A 24,071-nucleotide genomic window follows, 5' to 3' on the forward strand; every position below is an offset into this window, starting at 1 on the left:
CCTCTATTTCCCAAGCACAGATACATATTGGTGATTTCAGAATTAGTCCGCATTTTATGCTATGCACTTTCAGTTTCCCCATCTGTTGTTGTTTTTTTTTTTCTGAGATGGAGTCTTGCTCTGTCGCCCAGGCTGGAGTGCGGTGGCATGATCTCAGCTCATTGCAACCTGTGCCTCTTGGTTCAAGTGATTCTCCTGCCTCAGCCTCCCCAGTGGCTAGGATTATAGGCAAGCACCACCCCTGGCTAATTTTTGTATTTTTAGTAGAGATGGGGTTTCACTGGGTTGCCCAGGCTGGTCTCGAACTCCTGACCTCAAGTGATCCACCCACCTTGGCCTCCCAAAGTGCTGGGATTACAGGGGTGAGCCACTGCGCCCAGCCCGTTTCCCCATCTATAAGAGAGTTACCAGATTAGGTAACCTGAGGAAGGGGAGCAGCTAGTATTATTATTTCCAGAGATTTGCTACCCTCTGCGCAGTAAGAGAATTTTGCATCCTGACCCATTGCCATGTGACTTCTGGCATCTTCCTGCAAAAGGAATATACTTCCCTGCCCAGTGTCAGACTTGGTCACGTGACTTGCTTTGGCCAATGAAATGTGAGCAGAAGGGATGCATGCCAGTGAACAGCAGAAGCCACAGGAGCCCCCACGTGTGTCTGCCAACTCTTTGAATTCTCCCTGTGCTAGGAGAATGGCATTTCCCAGACTGGGGCTGCTCTGGCACCTTGAGCGCTAGAGTAAGGAAGGCATAAAGAAGCAGAGTGGCAGACCACCAGCAGCAATCAACATGGAATGCCAGCAAGACACAGGCCTTTGCTGTTGTCGGTCATGGAGATTTCGGGTTGGTTTGTTACTTGGTGAAGCTGACCAATACATGCAAAAGTGGCAGCTATGAATATACATGACATCTCAACCCAGTCTCAACCTGCCAGACTTGCCACTGAGCCCAGAGGAAGCCTCAGAACCCTTCTTCACACAGAGCTCCAAAAAATTGGAGTTAGCCCGCAAGTCATAACCCCATTGGCCCCTGAATTTTAACATTCCTCTCATGGCTTTTGGGGTACAAATATAGGAATCTTGTTTGGGAGCTTGCACTGGGGTTGGGATGAAGCTTGCCTTACAAAATCCAGTGGAGTCGGAGGATGTGGCTTATCCTGGCTCAGCTGAGAGGCTCCAGGGACAGCTGAGCCCATGGGGTAGATGGCAGCAGCCTAGTGCTTTCTCATCTTGGGGCCCCAGCTGGCAACATGGGAGCTTGCCAAGGCTGGGGTGCTGGGGCTCTGCAGCACCATACAGGTGGGCAGGTATGCAGCACAAAGCCGGGCCTGGCCTGGGCCTCAAGGAACAACGCAGCCTGGGGCCTTGGAACCAGGCCAGCCTGGAATACTGAAGGCAGGTGGTGACCTGGAAAGGCCTCGCTTCTCATGCCTGTGGCAACTGGTGCTGGTGGTTGGTTTGACTCTACTCATCATAGTGTTAGGGAAAGTGGACAATAAGCTCACTAAGGACAGGGCCCGGGGAATGATAACCATAACAACAGCTAATAATGGTCATTATATCAGACATGGCACTGATGCCTTATACAACGCCTTCAATCTTCACAACATTCTGTGAGACTGATATCATTTCTATCCCCATTTTAGATGAGGAAACTGAGGCTCGTGGAAGGTAATTGCTTGCCCAAGGTCACATGGCTGCTAAGAGGTGCAATTAGGACTCAAGACCGGGTCCACCTGACATTCCAAAGCTCTGTGCTGACACCATTGGCTCTAGCATCTCCTTGTGAACAGGGCACTGGGTAAGGAATGTGGGGCAGAACAGGTGTGAACCTGGCACAGGGTCAGCTCTGGGCAGCCCTGGCGTCTGACAGGAATGCTGTCCTGCATGTGACCTTGGGAAAAGTCCCCTGATCTATTCCAGTCTCTTGTTTCATGCCCTGTTCAAACCTCCCCCAGCCTGTTCAGGGCAGAAGAGTGCAGACAAAAGAAAGATTGGTTTCGGTTCTAACTTCACACACTAGGTTGTCAAGGGCCTAAAAGGGGACTGAGAATGGCTTCCAGAATGGGAGGAGTCAGATGACTTAAAAACAAACAAACAAACAAACAAAGAAACAAAAAACATGGCTGAGTACAGTGGCTCACACCTGTAATCCCAGCACTTTGGGAGGCCAAGGTAAGTGGATCATCTGGGGTCAGGAGTTCGAGACCAGCCTGGCCAACATGGTGAAACCCCATCTCTACTACAAATACAAAAATTAGCCAGGCATGATGGTGCATGCCTGTAATCCCAGCTACTTGGGAGGCTGAGGCAGGAGAATTGCTTGAACCTGGGAGATGGAAGTTGCAGTGAGCCACTGCATTTCAGCCTGGGCGACAGAGCAAGACTCTTGTCTCAGAAAACAAAAACAAACACACACATACACACGCACCAAAAACCATAGCCTCAAAGTGCTGATGAACTTGGAAGTTGGAACCATGACTTTTGACAATTGCATAACTATGTTTTTTTCCTCTTTGAAACTTAACTCATTTTGCTGCAATTTGGAGGGGAAGGGCAGCAGCAGGGGCCAGGGCCTCTGGAACTAGGTCTTAACTCTATTTCCCTTAGTTCCCATTTCCCACTAGAAAACTCTCTATGTTTTGGAAAAACATCAGTTATCAGAGCAGGAAAGGACCTCAGAGGCAGCTATCCCAAGTGGACTCATTTTGCAGAGGAGAAACAGAGGCTCTGGGCAGCAGATGAATGTGTCAAGGCGGCCCAGGGTCTCCTGACCACTCTGTCTTATGAGAATCTCCAGGATCATGCTCCACCCGCAAGTGGCCCTCAGCATCTTACCAGGAGCTCCTTCACAGGGAAGTCCTTTAGGTTTCCATCTCGGGGAGAGTCCAGCACCACGGGGAAGCCTTTATGGGGGGCCTCGATGTAGCCAAACTCAATTTCATCCTGCAGGGACACCAAGGAGAACTGTTAGACGAATCCAGGGGACAATTTGTGCACATGGGCAGAAAACTCGAGAAACACAAGAGCACAAAGGAAGAAGAACGTCTGTCTTGTTCCCCATTCCCTGGTCCCCCATCCTCCTCCCCTCACACTGATGATGGCAGCACAGGTGTCCATAGGCAGTCTCTGCACATCACAGGCAGGTTTCTTACCGATATCAGCCCCATTTTTTTTTTTTTGAGACAGGGTCTCACTCTGTTGCCCAGGCTGGAGTGCAGTGCCATGATTATGGCCCACTGCAGCCTCAAACTCCTGGGCTCAAGCGGTCCTCCTGCCTCAGCCTCTGAGTAGCTACGACTACAGGTGTGCACTACCATGCCAGGCTAATTTTTAAATTTTTTTTTGTGGAGTCAGGGTCTTGCTATGTTGCCCAAGCATGTCTTGAATTCCTGTTCTCAGGCAATCCTCCCACCTCAGCCTCCCAAAGTGCTGGGATTACAGGTATTATCCACCACGCGTGGCCTAGACCTCATTTTAAAAAACACAATAACCAGGCGTGGTGGTGCATGCCTGTAGTCCCAGCTACTTGGGAGGCTGAGGTGGGAGGATTGCTTAAGCCCGCAAGGCGGAGGTTGCAGTGAGCTGAGATCATGCCACTGCACTCCAGCCTGGGTGACAGAGCGAGACCTCGTCTCAAACAAAACAAAACACACAAATAGCAAGCAGCATCCTGAATATGTTTTCCGTTGAGTAACAACTTAACTTGAAGCACATCCTGTATCCATATTGAGAGACTGGCTTCATCCTTTTTAGCGGTTGCACAGAACTTCCGGGAAGGCCGTTACTCAGTCCTCCACAGATGGACATTTAGGTTGCTTTGCAATCTTTTGCTACTACAAGAAGCAGCACTGTAGTGCACTTGTATGTTTATGTCTTTGTGCACATGTGCAGATATGAGCTGACAGAAGAATCCCCATCTGCAGAGCTGCTGGGTGCCAGGCAGTTCACATGAAGCCAACTCTTCTTTGCTTGACCCGGGGGCCATGTCCTTCCCAGCCTGGACCTGGGCTCCTTACCTGGATCCAGCGATCGCCTCGGTTTAGGTACTGGAAGCAGACCTTCAGCTCACAGTTGGTTTTCTCCACAAGGTTCTTCACCTCTTTCAGGAACAGGTAATTATCCTTCATGCTGAGAAGTTGGGGGAAGAAGGAGAGGCCAGGAGAAAGGGTGAGGAGGGGCCAGAGTCATCTCCCTGAGATGGTGACAGCAGCTGGTATCTCTGGGCTGTGCCGGGCAGATCAGTCTACACCTGTGCTCACGGCCACCTTTATAAAGGCCGCTGGAATCAAAGGCCAAGTAAACCCACCCACTCATGTGGCGTTTGTCAAGGTCATGAACAAATAAAATGAGGGGGGGAACTCTCACCCCCACCTGTCCCAATGCCTTACACCTCTGACTCCACAGATTTTCAAAGAAGAGCTCTGCCTGGCATGAAGATGGGATGGACGTGAGGACCCCAAGGGTCCCTTTTGGGTTGCTAGCCATCTAATCACAGGCACTTTTTCCCTTGGTTCTCATCTTGCTGTTGTGGACCTAGCTCATAATAGGTGGTCAATAAAAGTCTGTTTAATGAATGAGTCAGATGAGCTGCATTTCCACTGCATAGGAGGTTGCTAACTGCCTGGTAGAGGGTTAAGCAAGAGAACAGAATGGCAGCTATTATTTTTAGAGCATACCCTGTGTGCTGGGCCTTGGATAAATGCTTTGCCTGCTTCATCTCATTTAATTCTCACAGTGACTCTACGATGTGGGCATTTCAGAGAGGCCAAGAGAGTTGCTCAAGGTAACACAGTGGTAAGTGACGGGGCCAGGAACTAGACTCATGTCCATCTGACTCGGCCCTTGGCCACTCTGCCACGCTGCCTCTCCAGGCTGGGGTCACCCCTTACCAGCACACAAACACCGACACGGGAGGCAGGATGTTGGGGGTCATGATCCACGGAGCAATCCGGAATATCACGGTGTCCGTGAAGATGGGAGTCAGGGGAATGTCCTGGGTGTGGGAGACAAGGCGTGGGGGATCAAAAGGTTTTGTCAGGTGCTTTCTTTGCCTGCCTTTCAAAGCGGGTGAAACTGATGACAGTGAATACATTTCCTCAGGACTTGCTATGCACCAAGCCTGTGCTAAGTACTTTCACATGTGCCAATTCTTTTCTGCCTTCCGACCACCGCAGGAGGTAGATACTGCTATGATCCTCACTTTTCAGATGGGGAAACCGAGTCACAGGGCTGTTAACCGCCCAAGGTCACATGGTTGGTAAGTGGTAGAGCCACCCGTGTGCTTGACCACATGGTAGGCTTTACACCCAGGCAGTCAGCTGCTGAGGTCACACTCTTAACCACTGTCCTATCTTGTCCCATCAAACTTCTCTTCCTGAAATCGCCCCACGCAACAGCTGAGCCAGCCCCCCACCTTCCTCTGTTTTTGCCCTTGGCACCTTGCCGTTTTCTGTATGTGGGCATTTTCGCGTTGTTTTGGGTCAGTTTTGCTATGTCCAGACTGTTTTGTTTTAAGGAATGGTCAAGCAGCTTGCCTGGAACCCAAGGGAAAGTGAGGTCTGATTCCAGGGTTCCTTTGTGGGGCTGGCTTTCAAAAGATATAGGAAATGGACCCCATCCTTGGTGGGGAGGTGCGGGGGTGGTGGGACTGTTGCACGGCTTGCCTTGCTTGCCGTGGTCTGCCTTTTGAGTCTCTGCGGGTGCCTGAGAGATCCTGGGGGTCAGGCTGCCCTGGGCATGGGTGCCATAAGAAGCCCCATCCCCGTCCCCTATCCTGTTAGCTTTGCCTTTTCCACTTCCCAGGGAGCTTGAGGGTGCTTTGTAAGTAGAACTTCACAAGTTTGGATGCTCACAACCACCCCCGGCAGCAGAAACTTTTGGACGTTCTGTCTTACAGATGGAGAAACTATGGCAAACTACCCTTAACTAAGGAAATTAACAGGAAGTTTAATTCATTTGCCTAGTGTCTCGTGGTGGTTAAACCAGGAGTTGAACCTGGGCAGTCGGCTGCCAGGGCTCATTCTCATACATCTCAGCTAGATCCAGCCTCACCTTTCTATAGCACCCATTGTATCCTTTCCCAAAGTGGCCTGGGGATAAAAATGAGGGGCTCTTGTGTTTGCGAGAGCAGCCAGGTCCTTCCCTTTTTTTCTGAGCGAAACAGGGTGGGCCTGAGAGGCTAGGGTCTGGGGATGAAAGGTCTTTGTGATAGAGATTCTTGTGAGCACAGCACGCCCTCAGTGATGGGGGCTTCTCTAGAGGGACAGGACCTCTTCTCCTCATCCAGTTTCTCCCCAAAGCAAGAGCAAGGCTGGCTGAGATGCCTGGCCCCAGGGTAGGGCACAACCTGAAACTGGGATTTGGGGTTCAGCCTGCAGTCAGAGTTGGTATAACCCACAGTTGGGGGAGGGGTCAGAGTGGGGCAGGAAGTACAGAGCGCGCAGTAGGTGGTCAGCAAACCCCACCTGGGTGGCTGCTTAGAGCCTCGCGCTAATCAGCAGGACTCTGGGCCTTAGACCTAGGCAGGGAGCAGGGCAGGCCAGGACACAGGCGTGGAGTGTGTCAGGAAACATTGCCCACAGGGAATCCGTGGGGAGCAGAAGCAGCAAGGAGACTGATCCCAGGAGCATGGCTCAGAGGACCCTGGCAGACACGTGCAGGCTTTGCTGGGGGGCATCGAGGTCTCCTAGCCTGGACCCACCCCTTTGGCGCTTTGAGCAGGGTGGAGCATAGCATAGGAATGGCCCACTAGTAGGAGACCCACCCTGGCCCCTGGGGTTAGCCCCCTGTGGTGGAGGCCTGGAGCCCTCACCTGGGCCATGTACTCCAGCAGGCTGACATGGATGGAGACCAGGCCTGAGAAGCCCTCGTCGGGGAAACAGAGGCCTTCCACGAAGAACAGCAGCTCCGCGGAGCCACCCGTGTACTTGACCACATGGTAGAGCTTCCGCCGGCCCAGGATGTGGATATAGCGTTGGCCGAAGAACGGGTCTGGAGGGAAAAGGACCAACGTCAGACTCCCACCCGCATCAGAAAGAGGTCGGTGGGGTGGGATCACCGATGGGGACAAAAGGGCAAAGTAACTTGTCCTCTAGACAGAGAGAAAAGCACAAGCAGAAAATGCCACCAGAATGGCCATGGCTAGGTCATTGTCATTGTCTCAGCACTGCTGTGTGCTGGCTGTGTGGCGCTTTGCCAGACAGTCACCCTCTCTGGCTTTTGGCTTCCCCATCTATAAAATAAGCAAGCTCTCTCGTGAACGGCTGATAGGAAATTGCCAGCTGAGCAGTTAGTGGTTCCAGGGGAGGATGTAATTGTTTCCATTTCACAGATGAGGAAACCAATCTCAGAAAGGAGGAGTGGCTTGTCCAAAGTCAGACAGCCAGTAAATAGCTGAGCTGGGACTCAGATTCAAGTCGAATTCTGAATCCCGAGCTCTCATCCCCTCTGTATAAACAAACCATAAATGTGCCCATTATACCAAAAATTCCCTCCATATCATGGAAGCCGTGTTGGTGTAAAGGCCAGTGCATGGGCTGTTCATTTTTGTGGCTGGGCGGAAAGATAGGTTCCTCCAGGGCTCCTGCCCTCCTGAAAGCTCCCAGTTTGACTTGTGCTCTCCCCTCTGCCTGAAACAATTGTGTCCCTTCTTCCTTCAGGCCTTGGTTTGTGTCACTTGCAACAATCCAGCCCAGTTTCCCCAGAGACAAAGCCAGGGGCTCTGTTTGGAGCTCCCACAGCCACCTGCCATCTCCATCACAGTCTTTTTATGTTTGTTTGTTTGTTTATTTATTTATTTATTTATTTTTTGAGACAGATTCTTGCTCTGTAACCTAGGCTGGAGTGCAGTGGCATGATCCTGGCTCACTGCAACCTCTGCCTCCTGGGTTCAAGCGATTCTCCTGCCTCAGCCTCCCAAGTAGCTGGGATTACAGGCGCCCACCACCACATATGGTTAATTTTTGTATTTTTTAGCAGAGACAGGGTTTCATCGCCATCTTGGTCAGGCTGGTCTCGAACTCCTTGCCTTTAGTGATTTGCCTGCCTTCAGACCCCCAAAGTGCTGGGATTACAGGTGTGAGCCACCACACCCGGCCTCATCACAGCCTTTTTAAATGTGGGTGACCTGTGCGAGGGTAGAGACAGGCCCAGTGGGGCCCAGGGCCTGCCCGGCACATGGTCATGTTTAACAAATGTCTACTGAACGAACCAATGACTCCCACAACATTCCCTGTGGGAGAGACCAAGGGGGAATTTTCAGGCAGATTGAGAGCACATGAATCAGGCAAGGACCTTCGGGGAGACAGAGGTGGTCCAAATGCAGCCTCTGTAACAGCAGTGCTCAGCTGATGATAAGATGGAGCAGATGTGGGAAGCGTCATAACGGCGGCTATGGGTGAGATCCAGTCTGGTTACTTGGGGTAGGGTGGGGAGGGCAGAAGAGGCACGGTGGGAAGCATTTGAGCAGAGGAAGGCAGCCTTTGAGATGCCCTTGCGGGTTGGCAGAAATGGGTGTGTTGGGGAGAGGAGATACTTGCATTGGTAAAGGCATGGAGGTAGGACCCTATGCAGTTCCAGAAGGAATTTCTTTATGCCCTGTAGAGCTGGAAGGGCAGAATCAGCCTCAGCTTAGTGCTTTCAACGACAATGATAATGGTTAATGACCAGATGCTCAAGGGTTAGAACACATAAGCCGAATAGCCTGGCACAAACTAGGTGCTTGATTAAAACGTGAGAAATAAGTGGATGAACCGCGAAGCCAGGGCTTGGGATGGCTCCTCCTGTGGGACAATGTGCCGAAATAGACCCTGGTTATAAATCTCACTAAGGGTGCTTCCCTTAGTGGTTATGACTTCCAATGTCAGAGGGACCTTGGTTTAAATACTTCTCTGGCTTTACAAGCTATAAAACCTCAGGGAGCCGGGTGCAGTAGCTCACGCCTGTAATCCCAGCACTTTGGGATGCTGAGGCGGGCGAATCACGAGGTCAGGAGTTTGAGACAAGACTGGCCAACACAGTGAAACCCCGTCTCTACTAAAAATACAAAAATTAGCCGGACATGGTGGTGCGTGCCTGTAATCCTAGCTACTCGGGAGGCTGAGGCAGGAATATCACTTGAACCCAGGAGGCAGAGATTGTGGTGAGCCAAGATTGCACCACTGCACTCCAGCCTGGGCGACAGAGCGAGACTCCATCTCAAAAAAAAAAAAAAAAAAAAAAAAACCAAGCCTCAGAGAATTCACTTAACCTCCCTGAGCCTCAGTTTACTCATCTGTTAAGTGGGAGATAATGATACCCACGCCACAGGTTCAATGTAAATGACACAGGCTCAGTAACTTCAGTAACCTCAGTAACCATGGGTAACCATCAGTAACACTGCTTGGACCTGTATTACGAGGATGTGAAGGAGTTTTCATTGAATAGTTTCCAAACAGAAGGCAGGGAAACCACGTCCCACCTCATCCTCCCTTGGGAGGGAGGAGTCCAAGAAATGAGGTGGAAAAATTCAGATACTGAAAGTCCCAAAGAATAGAAAGTGAGGTCCTGCTCACCCAGAAACAATAGTGTGCACCCTGCAGCCCTGTCAGTCAGTAGTTTCAGATAGACTGGCATCATGAAAACATTTTCCTCCAGGCACTCGGGCCCTCCCATGCCCACAGGCCCCAGGCTGCACTTGAACTGATGCTCAGGGGACAGTCAGGCTTAGAAGCCAACTTGTCCTGGCAGAAGCCACACAGCCAAAGCTTTCCCAGGGCTCAGAGCACCTGGGGGGCTCCACCAAGGTCTGGGGTAGGAACAGGGATCTGGCCAGGGGTGGTGGGGCAGGTGGAGGACACGTTCTAGTCCGTCTGCCGGCAGCTTTCTCCCTCCCGATGTGGCCCGTGGCCTGTGATTCACAATGCACCTCTATTCTGGGCTGCTTTCTGACAGTTGGGGCCAGCTCCGGGCGGACTGATTTCTTGGTGGGAACAATTCAGCCATTGTCCCCAGGAGCCTCCTTACCCCGTCCTCCATCCCTGGCTCGGTGCAAACCCCACACTGAGCGTGGCCAGCTTTCTCTGCAGGAACCAACAATGCCGCTCTATTGAGTGGTCCTCGTGCCTTGGGCTGGGCCCACTGACCACCGTGACCTCTCTGCCCCAGGCATTGGCTGGCACGTGGTTTGCCTTAACCTTTCTAGCTACTTTGGAATGATTCCACTTCCCAGCGAGACTCCTTGATAGTGTGACCAGCTGATTTGGTTTCCCTAGGACTGAGGGGTTTCCTGGCATGAGGAGCCCTCAGTGCTAAAATAAGGAAAGTCCTGGGCAAACTGGATTACCATTTCCTTGTATAAAGAGGTAAGGCCCCAGTGCTTGGTGTTTTGGGCAGAATTTGAGGCTAAGGCCGTTACCAGGTCTTCCTAGGAGCACTGAAGCCTTCTGTCCACTCCAATCATTGTAACTAACAGTCATCATCATAATCTCAACAAAAGCCATAATTGCCATTTATGGAGAGCTTTCCAAAGGCCAGCTACTGCACTCAGTGCCTGACACACCTTCCTCATTAGATCCCCACCACGATCCGGGACACCCGGGACAGTCGGAACTCTTACTACTCCCATGCCACGTCAGAGATGAGCACCCCAAGGCTGGGGCTGGTGAGAAGACTTGCCTGGACCCAGAATTGTAGCTCCCTGACTCCAGCACTCCCTATAGGGGTCCTTCAGTCTCCAACCCAGCCCCCTGGCCTTGGGGAGAGCTGGTCTGACCCTACCAGGACACCTGACATTCGCTCATCCACAGGGGTGCCTGGAATTTGACATAACTCCAAAGTGTTTGCCTGGAAGAAAAAGAGACTGTGCTCCTGGTCAATTATCTGTCGTCCTTTGCTTGTGTGTGTGTGTGTGTGTGTGTGTGTGTGTGTGTGTCTAAGAGTTTTCACCCAGTGACCCAGTGTCAGCATTATTGGGAAACTGTCTCTTCTGGGTCCCCACTGTCTCAGTCGTGGCTGCTCCCCACAGGATGGGCAGCCCAAATAAGAGGCTCCAAGGGACGTTCTCAAAGCCCTTGTGGTAGTAGTTCCTCTTTTTTCTTGTCTGCTCAGGACCCATCTCAGATGGCAAGTGATGAGGAGGGATGAGATTATGGAACCAGACCAGTCCACTCCCTTTAGCAAAAAGAAGAAACTTCTAGATAATGTCCAGACATCATTATTTGCAACAGGTCTCGTGTCACGACACCAAGGTCAAGAGGCCGAGGTTGAGGTCCTGCTTGCATCCCTCCTGCTCCCACTGGTGATCCCATCCTCCATGACAACCCTGGCCTGGATGGTGTCAACATCAACATCTCCGGCCCCCTGCGGCAGCGGAGCCAGCCTGACTCTGGGCACATTCCAACCTGTGTGAGGTCACTGCTTGGAGCCCAGGGTGGATCAGAAGGAAGACTGGTATTGGGTGGCTGCTGGCCACTGCCATCCTGGCTAAATATCTCCCTGATGTGAGGGTCCAGGGTCCCTACTCACCTCATGGTGAATGCCCTGGATCTAGTAGGCCTGTCTAGAGGTGGGTTCGGGGCTGGGCCAGAGATCCTGGCCCCCCTAGGCAGCTGGGCATGCAGAAGCCTCCTCCCGCCACCCCACGACCCGCCTTGTACCATGGCAAATTGCAATGCCGACTATTTTGCTGAGGGAGTTTTTAAAACACATACATCATTATTATGACAGTCCCTTGCATAAAACCCTCTAATGGCATTCCATTGCACTCAGAAGAAAATCCAAACCCAGTCTGCATGCTCTGGCCCCTGGCCGAGCTGACTGACCTTGACTCCCAGCCCTGCTCTGGGCTTCCATCTGCTCTTCCCACACTCTAAACTGGTCTCCTCCTCCAGGCTTTGCAGATGCTGTTGCCTCTGCTTAGAACACTCTTCCCTCAGCTCACGAGTGGCTGGTTCCTTCTTATTGTTCATCTGAGTCTCAGCTCAGATGTCACCTCCTCAGAGAGGCCTTTTCAGAGGCACCCATCTAGTGGTGCCTCTGCCCTGCCATTCTCCTCACTTATTCTATTTCATTTCCTCCAATTGTGGTACTGATTATGTCTCTCTTGCTAGACTGGCGGCTCCTTGAGGGCAGGGTGTGATTGTTGTGTTTACTGCAGAGATCTCAAAGCTGAGAACAGGGCCTGGCACCAAAGGGCTCAACACATATCCACAGACAGGGTGAGGCAGAGCCGGCAGCTACGAGGACTAGCTCCAGGGCAGGAGCCCGTGCCCTACACAGTGGGGGCCCAGGACATCTGTTGCCATCGAGAGGAGCAAGGGGTCAACTCTTCAAGGGTGCCCACTGCATCTTTAGGGGGTCTTTGAAAGTCAGAGATGGCAGAAAATACCTGGAGGTGGTGCCTGCCCTGCCTCAGGTATCCTGAAGGTGACATGACTCCAGAAAAGAAGTGCCCAAATGCCCTTCCTCCCCTGATTCGTAGGGAGGAAGGGCCTCTGGGTTCTACATAGACCCATGTCACTCCAGACTCCTTTGAGAGGAGGAGCGATGTGTCCCCATGGAGTCTTTCAACTTCACGGGACAACAGCATTGCCATGTTACAATCACTCAGAGACCAATCCAGGTCTTCCCCAGGCACCTGCACCTGTGAAGGCCACAACTGCTAAGGGGAGGAGGGTAGGTGGCTAGAAAGGTCTAGGCTGGACTGGGCTGGGATCACTCACTCTCCACGTAGAACACGCCCACTTTGTCTGAGTCTGACATGGAAATGTACAGAACTATCTCGTATCCGGCGGGGAGGCGGTCGGGGCCTTTGGTCCGCAGGATCATCTGGGACATGTCCTTGAGATCTGAGGGACAGAAGGTGAGAATGAAGAGATCTATCTGTTGCTGGAGCCTCAGCTTCCCAATGCCTTTTACTTTGATAATCAGGAAAAAATCCCCATGGATGTGTATTATGGAAACTATAGAAAAGCATAAAGAGGCTGGGTGCTGTGGCTCACACCTGTAATCCCAGTGCTTTGGGAGGTTGAGGTGGGTGGATCACTTAAGGCCAGGAGACAAACACCAGCCTGAGCAACATAGCAAGACCCCATCTTTACAAAAATAAAAAAAATTAGCCACGCATGGTGGCATGTGCCTGTAATCCTGGCTACTCAGGAGGCTGAGGCAGGAGGATGGCTTGAACCCAGGGGGTTGAGGCTGTAGTGAGCTATGATCATGCCACTGCACTCCAGCTTGGGCAATAGAACAAGGCCTTGTCTCAAAAAAAAAAAAAAAGAAAAAAAAAGAAAAAGAAAAAAGCAAAGCATAAAACAGAATAAAAACCAGTTGTCATTTCCAACACTAGAGATGATTAACCTTTTGGGAATTTCCTTCTGGTCTATTTTCTTTTTATTCTTCTTCTTCTTCTTCTTCTTTTTTTTTCTTGAGACAGAGTCTTGCTCTGTTGCCCAGGCTGGAGTGCAGTGGCATGATCTTGGCTCACTGCAATCTCTGCCTCCTGGGTTCAAGTGATTCTCCTGCCTCAGCCTCCTGAGTAGTTGGGATTACAGGTGCATGCCACCACGCTCAGCCAATTTTTGTATTTTTAGTAGAGATGGGGTTTCACCATATTGGTTAGGCTGGTCTTGAACTCCTCACCTCATGATCTGCCTGCCTTGGCCTCCCAAAATGCTAGGATTACAGGTGTGAGCCACCACGCCCGGCCCTTGTCTATTTCCTATGGTTTTGCCTTTGGCTTTAAGCAAGAGTGGGAATTTGTGTCCACCATCCCCAGGAGGCCTGAGTCCACACCTGCCTCACCCTCAGCCCAGCCCAGGACTGGGCATGAATCTTTTCACTCCTCTCATCCTGCCCCCCAAGTGCAGGGCCTGCTGGCACCTTCCTTGCTGTAGACCTTCTCATCACGGCAGTCCTCCTTGGGCAACCAGGGTGTCTCTCGGTCACAGTTCACCAGCAGGATGGCCCCCTGGCCCTCGGGGCCCCAGGTCCAGGATGCCTACAGTGGCAGGAAGAAAGGTCAGTGCCCTCTTCTCTATGCTTGTATAGACCCCATGGGACACTGGAGAGATAGCCCCAGGATGAGGGTAAAGAGTAGCCGCCACCCACTGGGGCAGCTGTGACCTGGCAAATGTGAATCTCAAGACTGATGTCCACAGAGGATGAATGTGGGCATCAAAGGCAAGTTCAATAGAGGCACAGAGACAGGAAGGCTGACTGAGGCATTTATGGGCCTCCTGTCTGGTGCAGCTGGTGTCTGGTGTGGGTGGAGGCAGGGAGGTGGAGGCTGGCCAGAGAAATGAGCAGACAGACATTCTACCATGGGTCCCTAGGTCCCTAGGGGAGCTCAGGAGGAGACGCCTGGATGGATGCCACCCAGCTGTTTCCAGACACGCTCCTAGTGCTCCGAATGGGACCTGCATGGTGCTCCACTTTCTACACTGCAGCCATAGCACTACTAGAACAAACTCGGGCCAGATTGTGTTGCTTCCCTGCTTTAAGCCAGGTCAGGGGCTCCCAGTTGAGTTGGCATGAAGCCCTGATTCCTTGCTGTGGCTTGGAAGGCCTGGTGAAACTTGCCTTCCTCTCTGTCTCATCTCCTCCGCCTTGCCCCTCGCTCACTCTGCCCCACCCATCCCGGCGCCTTTCTGCTCCCAAAAGACTCAAGCTCCCAGGCCTTTGCCTATGCCAGTCCCTCTGCTCCTGTCCTGCCCCTTTCCACCTGGCCCACTCTACCCTTCCTCGGTTACAGCATGACTGTCTCTTCTTCCTGGAGGCCTTTCTGATTCTCTAGGACAGAGCAGCTTCCCCGGGTCCACACCTGGCCCTGTACACATCCTTTTTGGGAGGACTTAGGACAACTGTGATGACACAGCTATCCGAAACACTCCATATTTAATGTGGACCATGGGCTCCTTAAGGCCAGGGCTGTGTTTCTCTTGTTCTTTCTGTGTCCCCTGGGCCTGACCCGCTCCTGGAACATAAAAGATGCTCAGCAAATATTTATGGGATGAGTGAAGAAAATGTGAAAACTTCACCGGCCCAGATTTAAAAATTCTGGCCAAGTTCAGGCTCATGGGGATCGTGTGACTTTCCCAAGACTGCCCAGCCCCTTGGGGGAGGTTGGAAGCTGTCGCCCTGGGGCTGCTGGGTTTCAGAGGCCTCTGTGGAGTTCATTCTCATATGGCTTGGCCATAGACTCAGAGAATGAGTGTGCAGGGCTGGCCCTGGTCTCAGGCAAGCCTTGCTCACGATCCTAGAAGAAGGGACTTCCCCACATGGCTGAGAACCCTCTCCTGACCTGCAGAGAGTCAGGGTAGCAGGCTGCTAGGACCCAGGCTTCTCATCAGGCTGTGTTTATTTTACTTCGTAAGTACCCCTCTATGTATACTTTACTCTAGGCTTCAGAGTGTTATTATAAAAGTCACATATGCCCATGGCAAAAATTGAGATAATACAGAAGGGCAGAAAATGGAAAGCAGTTAGAAGCAACAGCCTGAATGTACACAGAGCAAGACTGATGGAGCCTAAAAACTAGGTTGAGGGAAAAGTACAAAACAGAATGTGATGGAGAACACCATGCCGTCTGCACAAATTAAAAATACATGCACACCAACCACACCACATGCCTCCTGAGAGTCACCAGAGCAGAAAGAGACACATTAAACCCAGCAAAATGGTCCTCTGTGGGGGAGCAGAATGGGAGTGGGGAATGCAAGATAAAAGAAAATAAGTAAATGAACGAGGGAACAAATGAATGAATGGTGAATGAATGCAAGAATAAATAGAAAGAGGAGAGGGGCCGTGCATGCACCAGCAGAGATAATACCACGCCTGGAACTGAGAATGATGAATGCGACCCTCTGTCCTGAGGGTCTGTCTCCCCCACCTCCCTAGTCTTAAAAGAACAGGCAAAATAATAAGAGCAAATGCCTTCACAGTGCTTCCTCTGTAGCGGGCACATTTATCCTTCCCAGCAGTTCCATGAATTGGGCGTCCCCATCATGGGATGGAGAAACTGAGACTCAGGAGCCTGCTCTGTTGCCGTCTCTAGGAGATGCCTGAGCTCCTCTGTGGGTTCCATCATTGGTATGCTGTGTGTCTGGGAGCCTGTCTTGGGCTTTAGTCTCCTGAGCTGTGAAATGGGAATTGCCTGCGGGATCTGGGGCTGTGCCCTCGGAAGCCCTGGGTTCAGGGTGGTGCCTGCCCTGAAAGCTAGGTACCTTCTTTGGGTTGTTCTTCTCCACCACACCATCCCGGTCTGCGTCCACATCCAGGGAGATCTCTGGGGAGAAGAGACATGGGTGAGTTGCTGAGCCTGCCAGGCAGGGCAGGGCAGGGGCAAGAGGAAGACCTGTGGGATTTGGGTGCGTCTCAGCCATTCATTTGGTCACGGGAAAGAGAGGACCTCGCTGAAGTCATCTTATGCAACCCCCTGCCTCAACATCCCACTACCCACTGGAGACCGTCAGCAGACACCGTGTGGACCTCGTAGCTTACGGCTGCAAGAGCTGCCATCGGGGAGGTCTGGGACCTCCTACCACTTCATTGTTCTGGCTGGGGGTTGGGGAATGATCCTCGCTGCACAGATCTGGATGCCTCAGTTCAGAGGTGAAGTCGCATGCCCAAGATCACATAGGGACGCTAGCAGAACTGGGGTACACAGTGCGGTTGGTCTGATTCATAGTTCATATTCTGAAAACTTAACAGGGATAGCATTCCCAAACTGCCTTTCTCAGTCTACCCGGGCATGCGCATAGGTGTGCACATGTGCACCTGGGTGTGCGTGTCTCTTTCTCTCCCAGAACTTCCAGTGGGCTAGATCCCACCTTCAAGGACTGAGGGTTTTACTGTGGGTGGGAAGCTGTCTCTAACCCCTCTTGGTCTGAGGTCACCTGTGAGTCTAGATGGAGGATCCAGGGCCAGGCCCCCACTTATCCCTTCTCTTGGTGAAGGGACCCTCAGCATCCCTAGGCCTGCCATGGAGACAGGCTTTGTGGAGACTGTAGGGAAGTGAAAAGGTTTAGTATCAGACAAGGTGGGGTTTAGACCCTGGTTCTCTGCTTATAAGCTGTGTGACTTTGGGCAGGTTAGAGGACCTCTCTGAGCCCCAGTTTCCTCACTTGTAACATGGGGCCCTTCCTGGTTACAGCAGATGCATTAGCTGCAATGGAAGGCACTACTGACATTTTTGAGCCAAATAACTCTTTGTGTGGGGGCAGCCTGTGCATTGTAGGATGTTTAACAGCACTCCTGGCTTCTACCTACCAGATGCCAGTAACATCCCTCCCAGTCGTGACAGCCAAAAATGTCTCCAGATATTGTCAAATGTCCCTTGGGAGGCGAAATTGCCTTGAGTTGGAGACGGATGAGGTCGAGTAGGGATGTGGTTGGGAAGGTGTTGGGAGTGTCACACACATGACATGTGCCCGTTCCAGGTCCCCAGAGCTGCCCGAGTGGGCTCATCTCACGCTGAGCATGACTTGGACCTGGTGGGCGCTGGGTGGTAATGAATGCATTCCTGGTTAGTCCCCGTGGCAGGCACACCCTCTGCCTGGAGGGCATGGAAAGGAGGGTCCTGGCACACGAAGTGCACTGATGTCACCCTTCTCTGGGCCAACCAAGCCCAGAGTCCAGAGATCACATTCAGGTCCTCCCTTTGCCTATAGCCTGCATACCCTAGACCTGCATGTGACTTTTCCAGTCTAGAAGGAGGCTGCAAGGGCGCCTGGCCCTTGAGAGAGGCAGTCTTGTGTGTCCCAGCCTCTGCAGCTGTGCGGTGAGTTAGGTGCTGTAAGGCATAATTTGTAACCTCCTCCCTCCGATCGCATTCACTCCACATTTCACTGCTGAGGAGCTACTGCTCCGGGAGCTGTACCAGGCAACGGGCAATGGAGGCACAGCACCTGCTCTCAAGGCGTCCACAGTCCCATGAGATGAATAGCATTGCTCTCGTTTCACAGGGCAGCAAACCCAGGTTCAGAGAAGCCACTTGTCAGCAAATCGGGCTGGTAATCTGGGAGGCTGGTGCAGGATAAGGACCCCAGGGGAAAGAAGGGAAGGCGGTACCACCAGGGGCTAAGAGCCTGGGGTGCAGGGGCAGGAATAATACTGGTTTTGGTTCCTGGACCTTTGTGAACTTTCCAGCCGGTCACGTCCACTGAATGCTGCCTTTCAGGGAGCTGGCTTCCTGAAACTCCTCCCTCGGAAGGAGCCGCAGGTCCAGCCTCTTTAGGGAGCCACTCTGTCCTTTTCAAGGTAAAAATTTCTCCCCTGCGGGCATCCTGCTCTGCAGCTGCACAGCGTTTTCCAAGGTGTGTTCTCTCGGCCACTCCAGGGGAGGCGTGACCACCCCCACCCCCTAACGATACAGATGAGGAAACCCAGGCCCGCAGCAGGGAAGTGACCACCGAAGTTCCCAGAACGCAGAGCCAGGCTCTCAGCAGGGCCTCGGACTCCGGCTGCCTGCTCTCTGCTGTTCCCTGCAATGAACCCAGGCTGACCTCCCTGCAAGCTGTTTCCAAAAGCCCAGCCCAAAGTCAAAGACACAAGACTTGCTCCCTTGAAGGTCATTCCCAGAGGAAGTGCCCATTTCCCCACCTTGGTAGCCCTGCGGCCTTCGTCTCTAGGCCGTAAGGTGACATTACATTGGGACTCCTTGTGGCGAGTCCATTAAAGCAGTGGGGCCGTGGGCTAGGAGAGAAATTATGGTGCAGTCTATACTGCTTCATTTCATTATGAATTCTTAAATGGAAACATTTTATTCATGTAATATTTGGACATAGTACAAACAAAATCAAATAAAATAGTAACACACTGTTTCTAAAGAAAGACAGCAGTTCCTTGTCCAGCCCTTCTTCTCAGCTGCCTAAGGCAACCTCTCTCATGCTTATTGCGATTTCCTGATTTACTGAATTCAGACAGGTTTCGTTACCTTCCTGTTACGAAATGTGGGCATTTCACAGTGTGGCTCCCTTATCGTCCTCCCAGCCTCTCACAGGGCTTCATAACTCCTCTCTGATGACCCATGACCTGTCCCCATAATCCACTGAAATGACCTTCTGGCCCCTTCACCCTCAGAGACCGCCCACCCTGTAGTCATGCCCATGGGACTTCGCCCCTGCAAGGCTTCCCCCAATGTCTGATTTAACTAGATTCCAGTGGGATGCTGCGGGTAGGGGCAGAGAACAGGGCTGGTGTGACCTGCCCAGAGCATTGCCTCTTGGGATGGCTCTGCCTTCCCGAGGGGGAGGAGGGAGAGGAGCTCTGCTTCAGGGCCTCCAGGCTCCAGACGACATTTCCCAGAGGCTCTGGATCCCACCTCAGTTCCCCAGAATAGCCCCAAGGCGTCAGGTGGCTCCTGGGTGTGGGGCAGATTGACGGGAAATGTCCCTAGGATTGGGTTCAAGGCAGTCTGCCCTGAGAATGAAGACACTGAAGCCTCAGCTCTGACCGAGAGGCACAAGCATTTTGGAGGGTCGCCAGAGAGTGGCAGGGTGCCTGGCCTTCTTGCCTTACTAAGCAGCTTGAGATGTTATGGGAAGGAAGGACACCCTCCCCCACAGCCAATCAGGGCAAGTATCCCAGCCTCTGGGGAGAAGGCATAGGATCAAGCCCCTTAGGTTGATGTTAAAATTTTCTGGGGCCCGCATATGTGTACTCCTTCCACTGCCAGGACCTCAAATAGGGTGGGATTCTTCCTCCCTCCCCACACCTCACCTCTTGCTCTCCCCCATCCCTCCCAAAAAATGGAAGTCTTTGCAAATCAACCCTAACCAGGGTCTTGAAGGTCCTTAGGGATTAATTAGCTCAAACCCCTTATTTTATAGTTTGTAAAAAGTGAGTCCTAGTGGGGGTGGTTACTTGTTAAGGTCACACAGCAAGTCCTTGGCGGGATTGGGACAAAGACCCAGAGCCTGATCTGGCCAAAGGAATCATGAATTTGCTCCCAAATCCCAGAAGGAAGAAGGAGAGACCATACATTTCTTTAACTTCACCCAGGCAGAGAGAAAATGCGGCCACCTCAAGAGCAAGAGAGAAAAGCAGGCGGAGCATTGACTAAGCACCCACTCTGTGCCGGGCCCTTCGCACACAACATCCCACTGAATCCTTGTAAACACCATGCAAGGCTGCTCTGTGAAGCGCATTTTATAGATGAGGAAGCCAAGGCTCAGGGGGATGATGTGACTTGTCACAAGCTGGCTGGAGGGGACAGAGAAAGATCTTAGGCTTACTTCTGTCTACCCAGAAGCCAAGGCTCTTTCTGCTCAATGTGGACTCAGGATAGGACCAGGGTGAGAGAGATTCAGATACATTTTTGTGCCCAGGGGACAGTCCCAGCCTCTCAAGATATTGGGGTTGGGGGGGGGCTTGCCTCTGAGGCGCTGCCCCTGAGTGATTGATTACTCAGGATGACGGGCTCAAGGGCTCCTGGGGCAGATGCTCGAGAAAAGAGAAAACCTAGAAGGGACAGAGAGAACAGTGGTCCCCAAGGGAAACCAGATTTTCACCAGGGTCTCTGTTGGAACAGGAAACAGAAGTTCAATGGTGTTAGTTTCTTTTTGCAATTGAATGACTGTCTCTTATTCTGTTTTTTGTTTTGTTTTGTGTTATTTTTGAGACAGAGTCTCATTCTGTCGCCGAGGCTGGAGTGCAGTGGCACTGTGTCAGCTCACTGCAACCTCTGTCTCCTGGTTTCAAGCAATTCTCCTGCCTCAGCCTCCTGAGTAGCTGGGATTACAGGCGTCCACCACCATGCCCGGCTAGTTTTTATATTTTTAGTAGAGACAGGGTTTCACCATGTTGGCCAGGCTGGTCTTGAACTCCTGACCTCAGGTGATCCGCCCACCTCGGCCTCCCAAAGTGCTGGGATTACAGGCGTGAGCCACTGTGCCCGGCCATGACTGTCTTTTATTCTGAGATTATGCCTTGCCTATTTTTTAAGAGTTAAAATGATAGTGATAGTTGATAGCAAATTTTTTTTTTTTTTTTTTTGAGACAAAGTCTCGCTCTGTCGCCCAGGCTGGAGGGCAGTGGCACCATCTTGGCTCACTGCAACCTCCACCTCTTGGGTTCAAGCAATTCTCCTGCCTCAGCCTCCTGAGTAGCTGGGACTACAGGTGCGTGCCACCACGCCCAGTTAATTTTTGTATTTTTAGTAGAGATGTGGTTTCGCCACATTGGCCAGGCTGGTCTCAAACTCCTGACCTCATGATCTGCCCACCTTGGCCTCCCAAAGTGTTGGGATTACAGGCGTGAGACACCGCGCCTGGCCACAAATTGTTTTATTGATGTATTTTTTTTTCTTTTTTTTGCCAAGCATCAAAGTTGTTAGTGTTCTCATTTTTTGGGGGGTGGGGGCAGGGGACATTTGATTGGCCCATGGAATCTAAATATCTGGAACTTGTGGCAGTTAAATAAATAATTATTAACAGACCTCGGAAGGATGAACTTGGTCACTTGTCGTGGGCACATGTGGCATCTTTTGGGACTCAGCCATGCCGCCAACTCTGAGCGGGCTTCCTCTAAGCACAGCTTTGTCATCTCCTAGTGAGGAGGAAAAGTCCAGTCCTGCCTCCTTATAGACGCTTATTTTGCCATCTATCCTAAGTCTGTCTTGCTTTGGTGGAAGTCTTGTTAATGGTGCAGTCAGCCTTCTGGGATCATCCTCATTTGACAGGTGTCAGGCCCCTGCCCTTCCTGCCCCCGTCCTCAGGTGTCCCTATCTTGGTGGGATTAGGTTTCCTCAGGGACTGTCATCTGAGACTGCCTGGATGCTGTGTGCATGCAAGGTTCACACACGTGCCAGGGCTCAGTACAACCCAGGAGTCTTTGTTGATCATCTGCCACCCTCACCAAGGTCATCCCGAGGTTCCCTACCCCAGGGCTGGGCACCTCCTTGGGACAGAAAGAGGGACAGGGGGACCAGCAACCAAGCCCATTTGGGAATTAGCCAAGAATGAGAAGGGCCCTGCTGCTAAGCCTGTTTAAGCAGCTGAGAGCACAGGGCTAGAGAGGAAGGGGCTGGCTCGGGAGTTAGTTGTATCTTGGGGAGATTCTGAGACCCCCCCTGAGAATGTGGGATAACTGGAATGATTGGCATCTCACCAACCATTTTCTGGAGATGTAGCTGCAGGCAAGTATTTGTTTTACCTTTTCTGAGCCTTGATTTTCTCATCTATAAAATGAGGATGATAATAATAATATCTATCCTTGGAATAGTTGGAAGAAGAGATTGAAATCGTGACGGTAAAACATTGAGTACTGGAGCCTGGCACACCATAGGTGCTCAATTAATATCAGGTGTTTACCATTCTCCCCCTCCTCCTCCTCATCAAAGTGCCCAGTGCAGCTCTAGACACACAGTAGGCCTGCAATAAGCAGGCCGCATCATTATTTTGAAAGCACTCAGCATGCAGTTGACTCTCAATAACTGGTAGTTCCCTTCCTCTGCCATGCGGCAACTCTGTCAATGTTAAACCAAGGTTGGATGAACAAAATGACCCTCTGAAATGTCCTCTTGGCTTTAACATTCTATGATTAAAAAATGAAATAAAATAGCATAAAAGTAATGCCTCAGTTTCAGGGGGTGGAGTGATGGAAAATTCAGATGATCACAGCCAAGGGTCCTGTAGAGCCAGGCTAGGCTCCACCTCCCTGGCATGCAGGCCTGGCACCCAGCGCAGGGCAGTGTGATGCAATGGAGAGAACCTGAGACAGGGATAATTCTGGGTTCTGGACTCAACTTGCCACCCAGTTGCTGTGTGATGTTGAATAAATTCCCTAACCTCTCTGGGCCTCACCATCCTGTGGATCAAATGAAGGACTTGGACTAGGTGAGTTAAGGACCTGGAGGCTGCATCTCTGCACCCTCGGGGCTGAATCTGGGGAGAACCAGGGGGCAGCTGGGATTGTCAAGAACAGCTGCTAGTTTTATAGACTGTGGCCATTCCCCTCACCATGAGAGGGACACTCTTCTCCAGGCTGCAGGGGAGAGGCAGGGGGAAACACACTTCACCTTTTTCTCTTTTAGGGCCACAGAGCCTGGGAAGGGGACCTTGACACTTGGGGGGGGGTTGCTGATGGATCAGGGAGTGCCTCTTCCTGCAGATAAGCCCCCACCCCAGTATGGAAGGACCGGGGTGGGGCACATGTGACATCCCTCCCCAGGCCTGTGCCATTCAGAAGAAGCTCCAAGTGCCAGGTCAGCCGCACTGAGAACCGCCTAAGTGCCCCAGAGAAGGACAACAGTGCCAGGCCCTGGGTGATGAAGGCACTGAGACGGCAACCATGCCAACTCACCAATGGCTGTGAGGAAGAGCCCCGCCTGGTCGATGGGAATGCTCCCTTCCTCGTCATAGTAGTTGACGGTGACCTTGGTGGGGAGGGGGCACATTGGAGTAGAGAGAAAAGAGAGCAGAGATCACAGATCACAAGCAGGAAAACCTGAAGCAACTGCTGTCCCTCACAGCTTGTCAAGCCAACCCTCTCCAAACATCAGAACCCTCTCCTCCAGGAAGAACTCCTGGGTTGGTGGGCGGTTTCCCTCAGGTAACTGAACTAGACTGTGGACTCCCCTCCTGCTGGCTGAGAGGGCAGTTAGGATGCTGTCTGCCTTCCTGTGCCACTGTGTGCATTCTGCTGCCTGGGGTCCCCCATATCTGCCATGTTGCACGTCTAGTGCCCACTGAGGGGACAGGGCTGAGGCTATTTTCTTTGGACCATGTTCAATGCCATCACTGTGATGGGGCACATGGTAAAGTTCATAATTACGGAACCCAGAAAGGAGACAGTTCTGGTCTCAGCCTCACCACTTAGGCAAATCACCCATGGATGTTCAGCACCCCATTTTACAGATAGACCAAGGACACTTGTGACTGTAAGCTCCAATGATTCTATGGTTCTGAGCCTCTAAACTTTCTATCACTCAGCTGTCTATAATTTTCATCCTTTACGAAGCCATCGTTCCATGGTCTAACCCCACAACATCCACATGGCTACCGAGCACTGGAAATGCGGCTATTCTGAACGGAGGTGTGTTATAAGGTGTAAAACTCACACTAATTTTAAATTTGGTATGGAAAAAGAATATAAA

The 24,071-nt window shown here is 51.8% G+C and overlaps 1 protein-coding gene across 3 annotated transcripts in view, besides 1 other annotated feature; it reads right to left on the reverse strand.

Moving 5' to 3' along the window:
* PADI2 (peptidyl arginine deiminase 2) overlaps positions 1–24,071 on the reverse strand; it is a 52,691-nt gene that overhangs the window by 12,948 nt on the left and 15,672 nt on the right. For 2 of the 3 annotated variants that reach the window (NM_007365.3, XM_047442975.1), the window contains exons 3-10: positions 23,279–23,351; positions 16,201–16,262; positions 13,859–13,976; positions 12,700–12,825; positions 6,813–6,991; positions 4,891–4,994; positions 4,018–4,129; positions 2,837–2,944 (exon numbers count right to left, since the gene is read on the reverse strand). In NM_007365.3, coding sequence (NP_031391.2) covers positions 2,837–2,944; positions 4,018–4,129; positions 4,891–4,994; positions 6,813–6,991; positions 12,700–12,825; positions 13,859–13,976; positions 16,201–16,262; positions 23,279–23,351 — 882 coding nt within the window. The other variant, XM_017000148.3, reaches the window with a different exon arrangement.
* Positions 6,146–6,647: an enhancer, noted in NCBI's record as "H3K4me1 hESC enhancer chr1:17412349-17412850 (GRCh37/hg19 assembly coordinates)". NCBI's record gives its function as "activates a minimal SCP1, AML or CMV promoter by ChIP-STARR-seq in naive H9 embryonic stem cells {active_cell/tissue: H9 hESC(naive)}" and the evidence as "EXISTENCE:reporter gene assay evidence [ECO:0000049][PMID:30033119]".

This window comes from Homo sapiens, chromosome 1 (assembly GCF_000001405.40).
Source record: "Homo sapiens chromosome 1, GRCh38.p14 Primary Assembly".
In the NCBI taxonomy this organism is placed as follows: domain Eukaryota; kingdom Metazoa; phylum Chordata; class Mammalia; order Primates; family Hominidae; genus Homo; species Homo sapiens.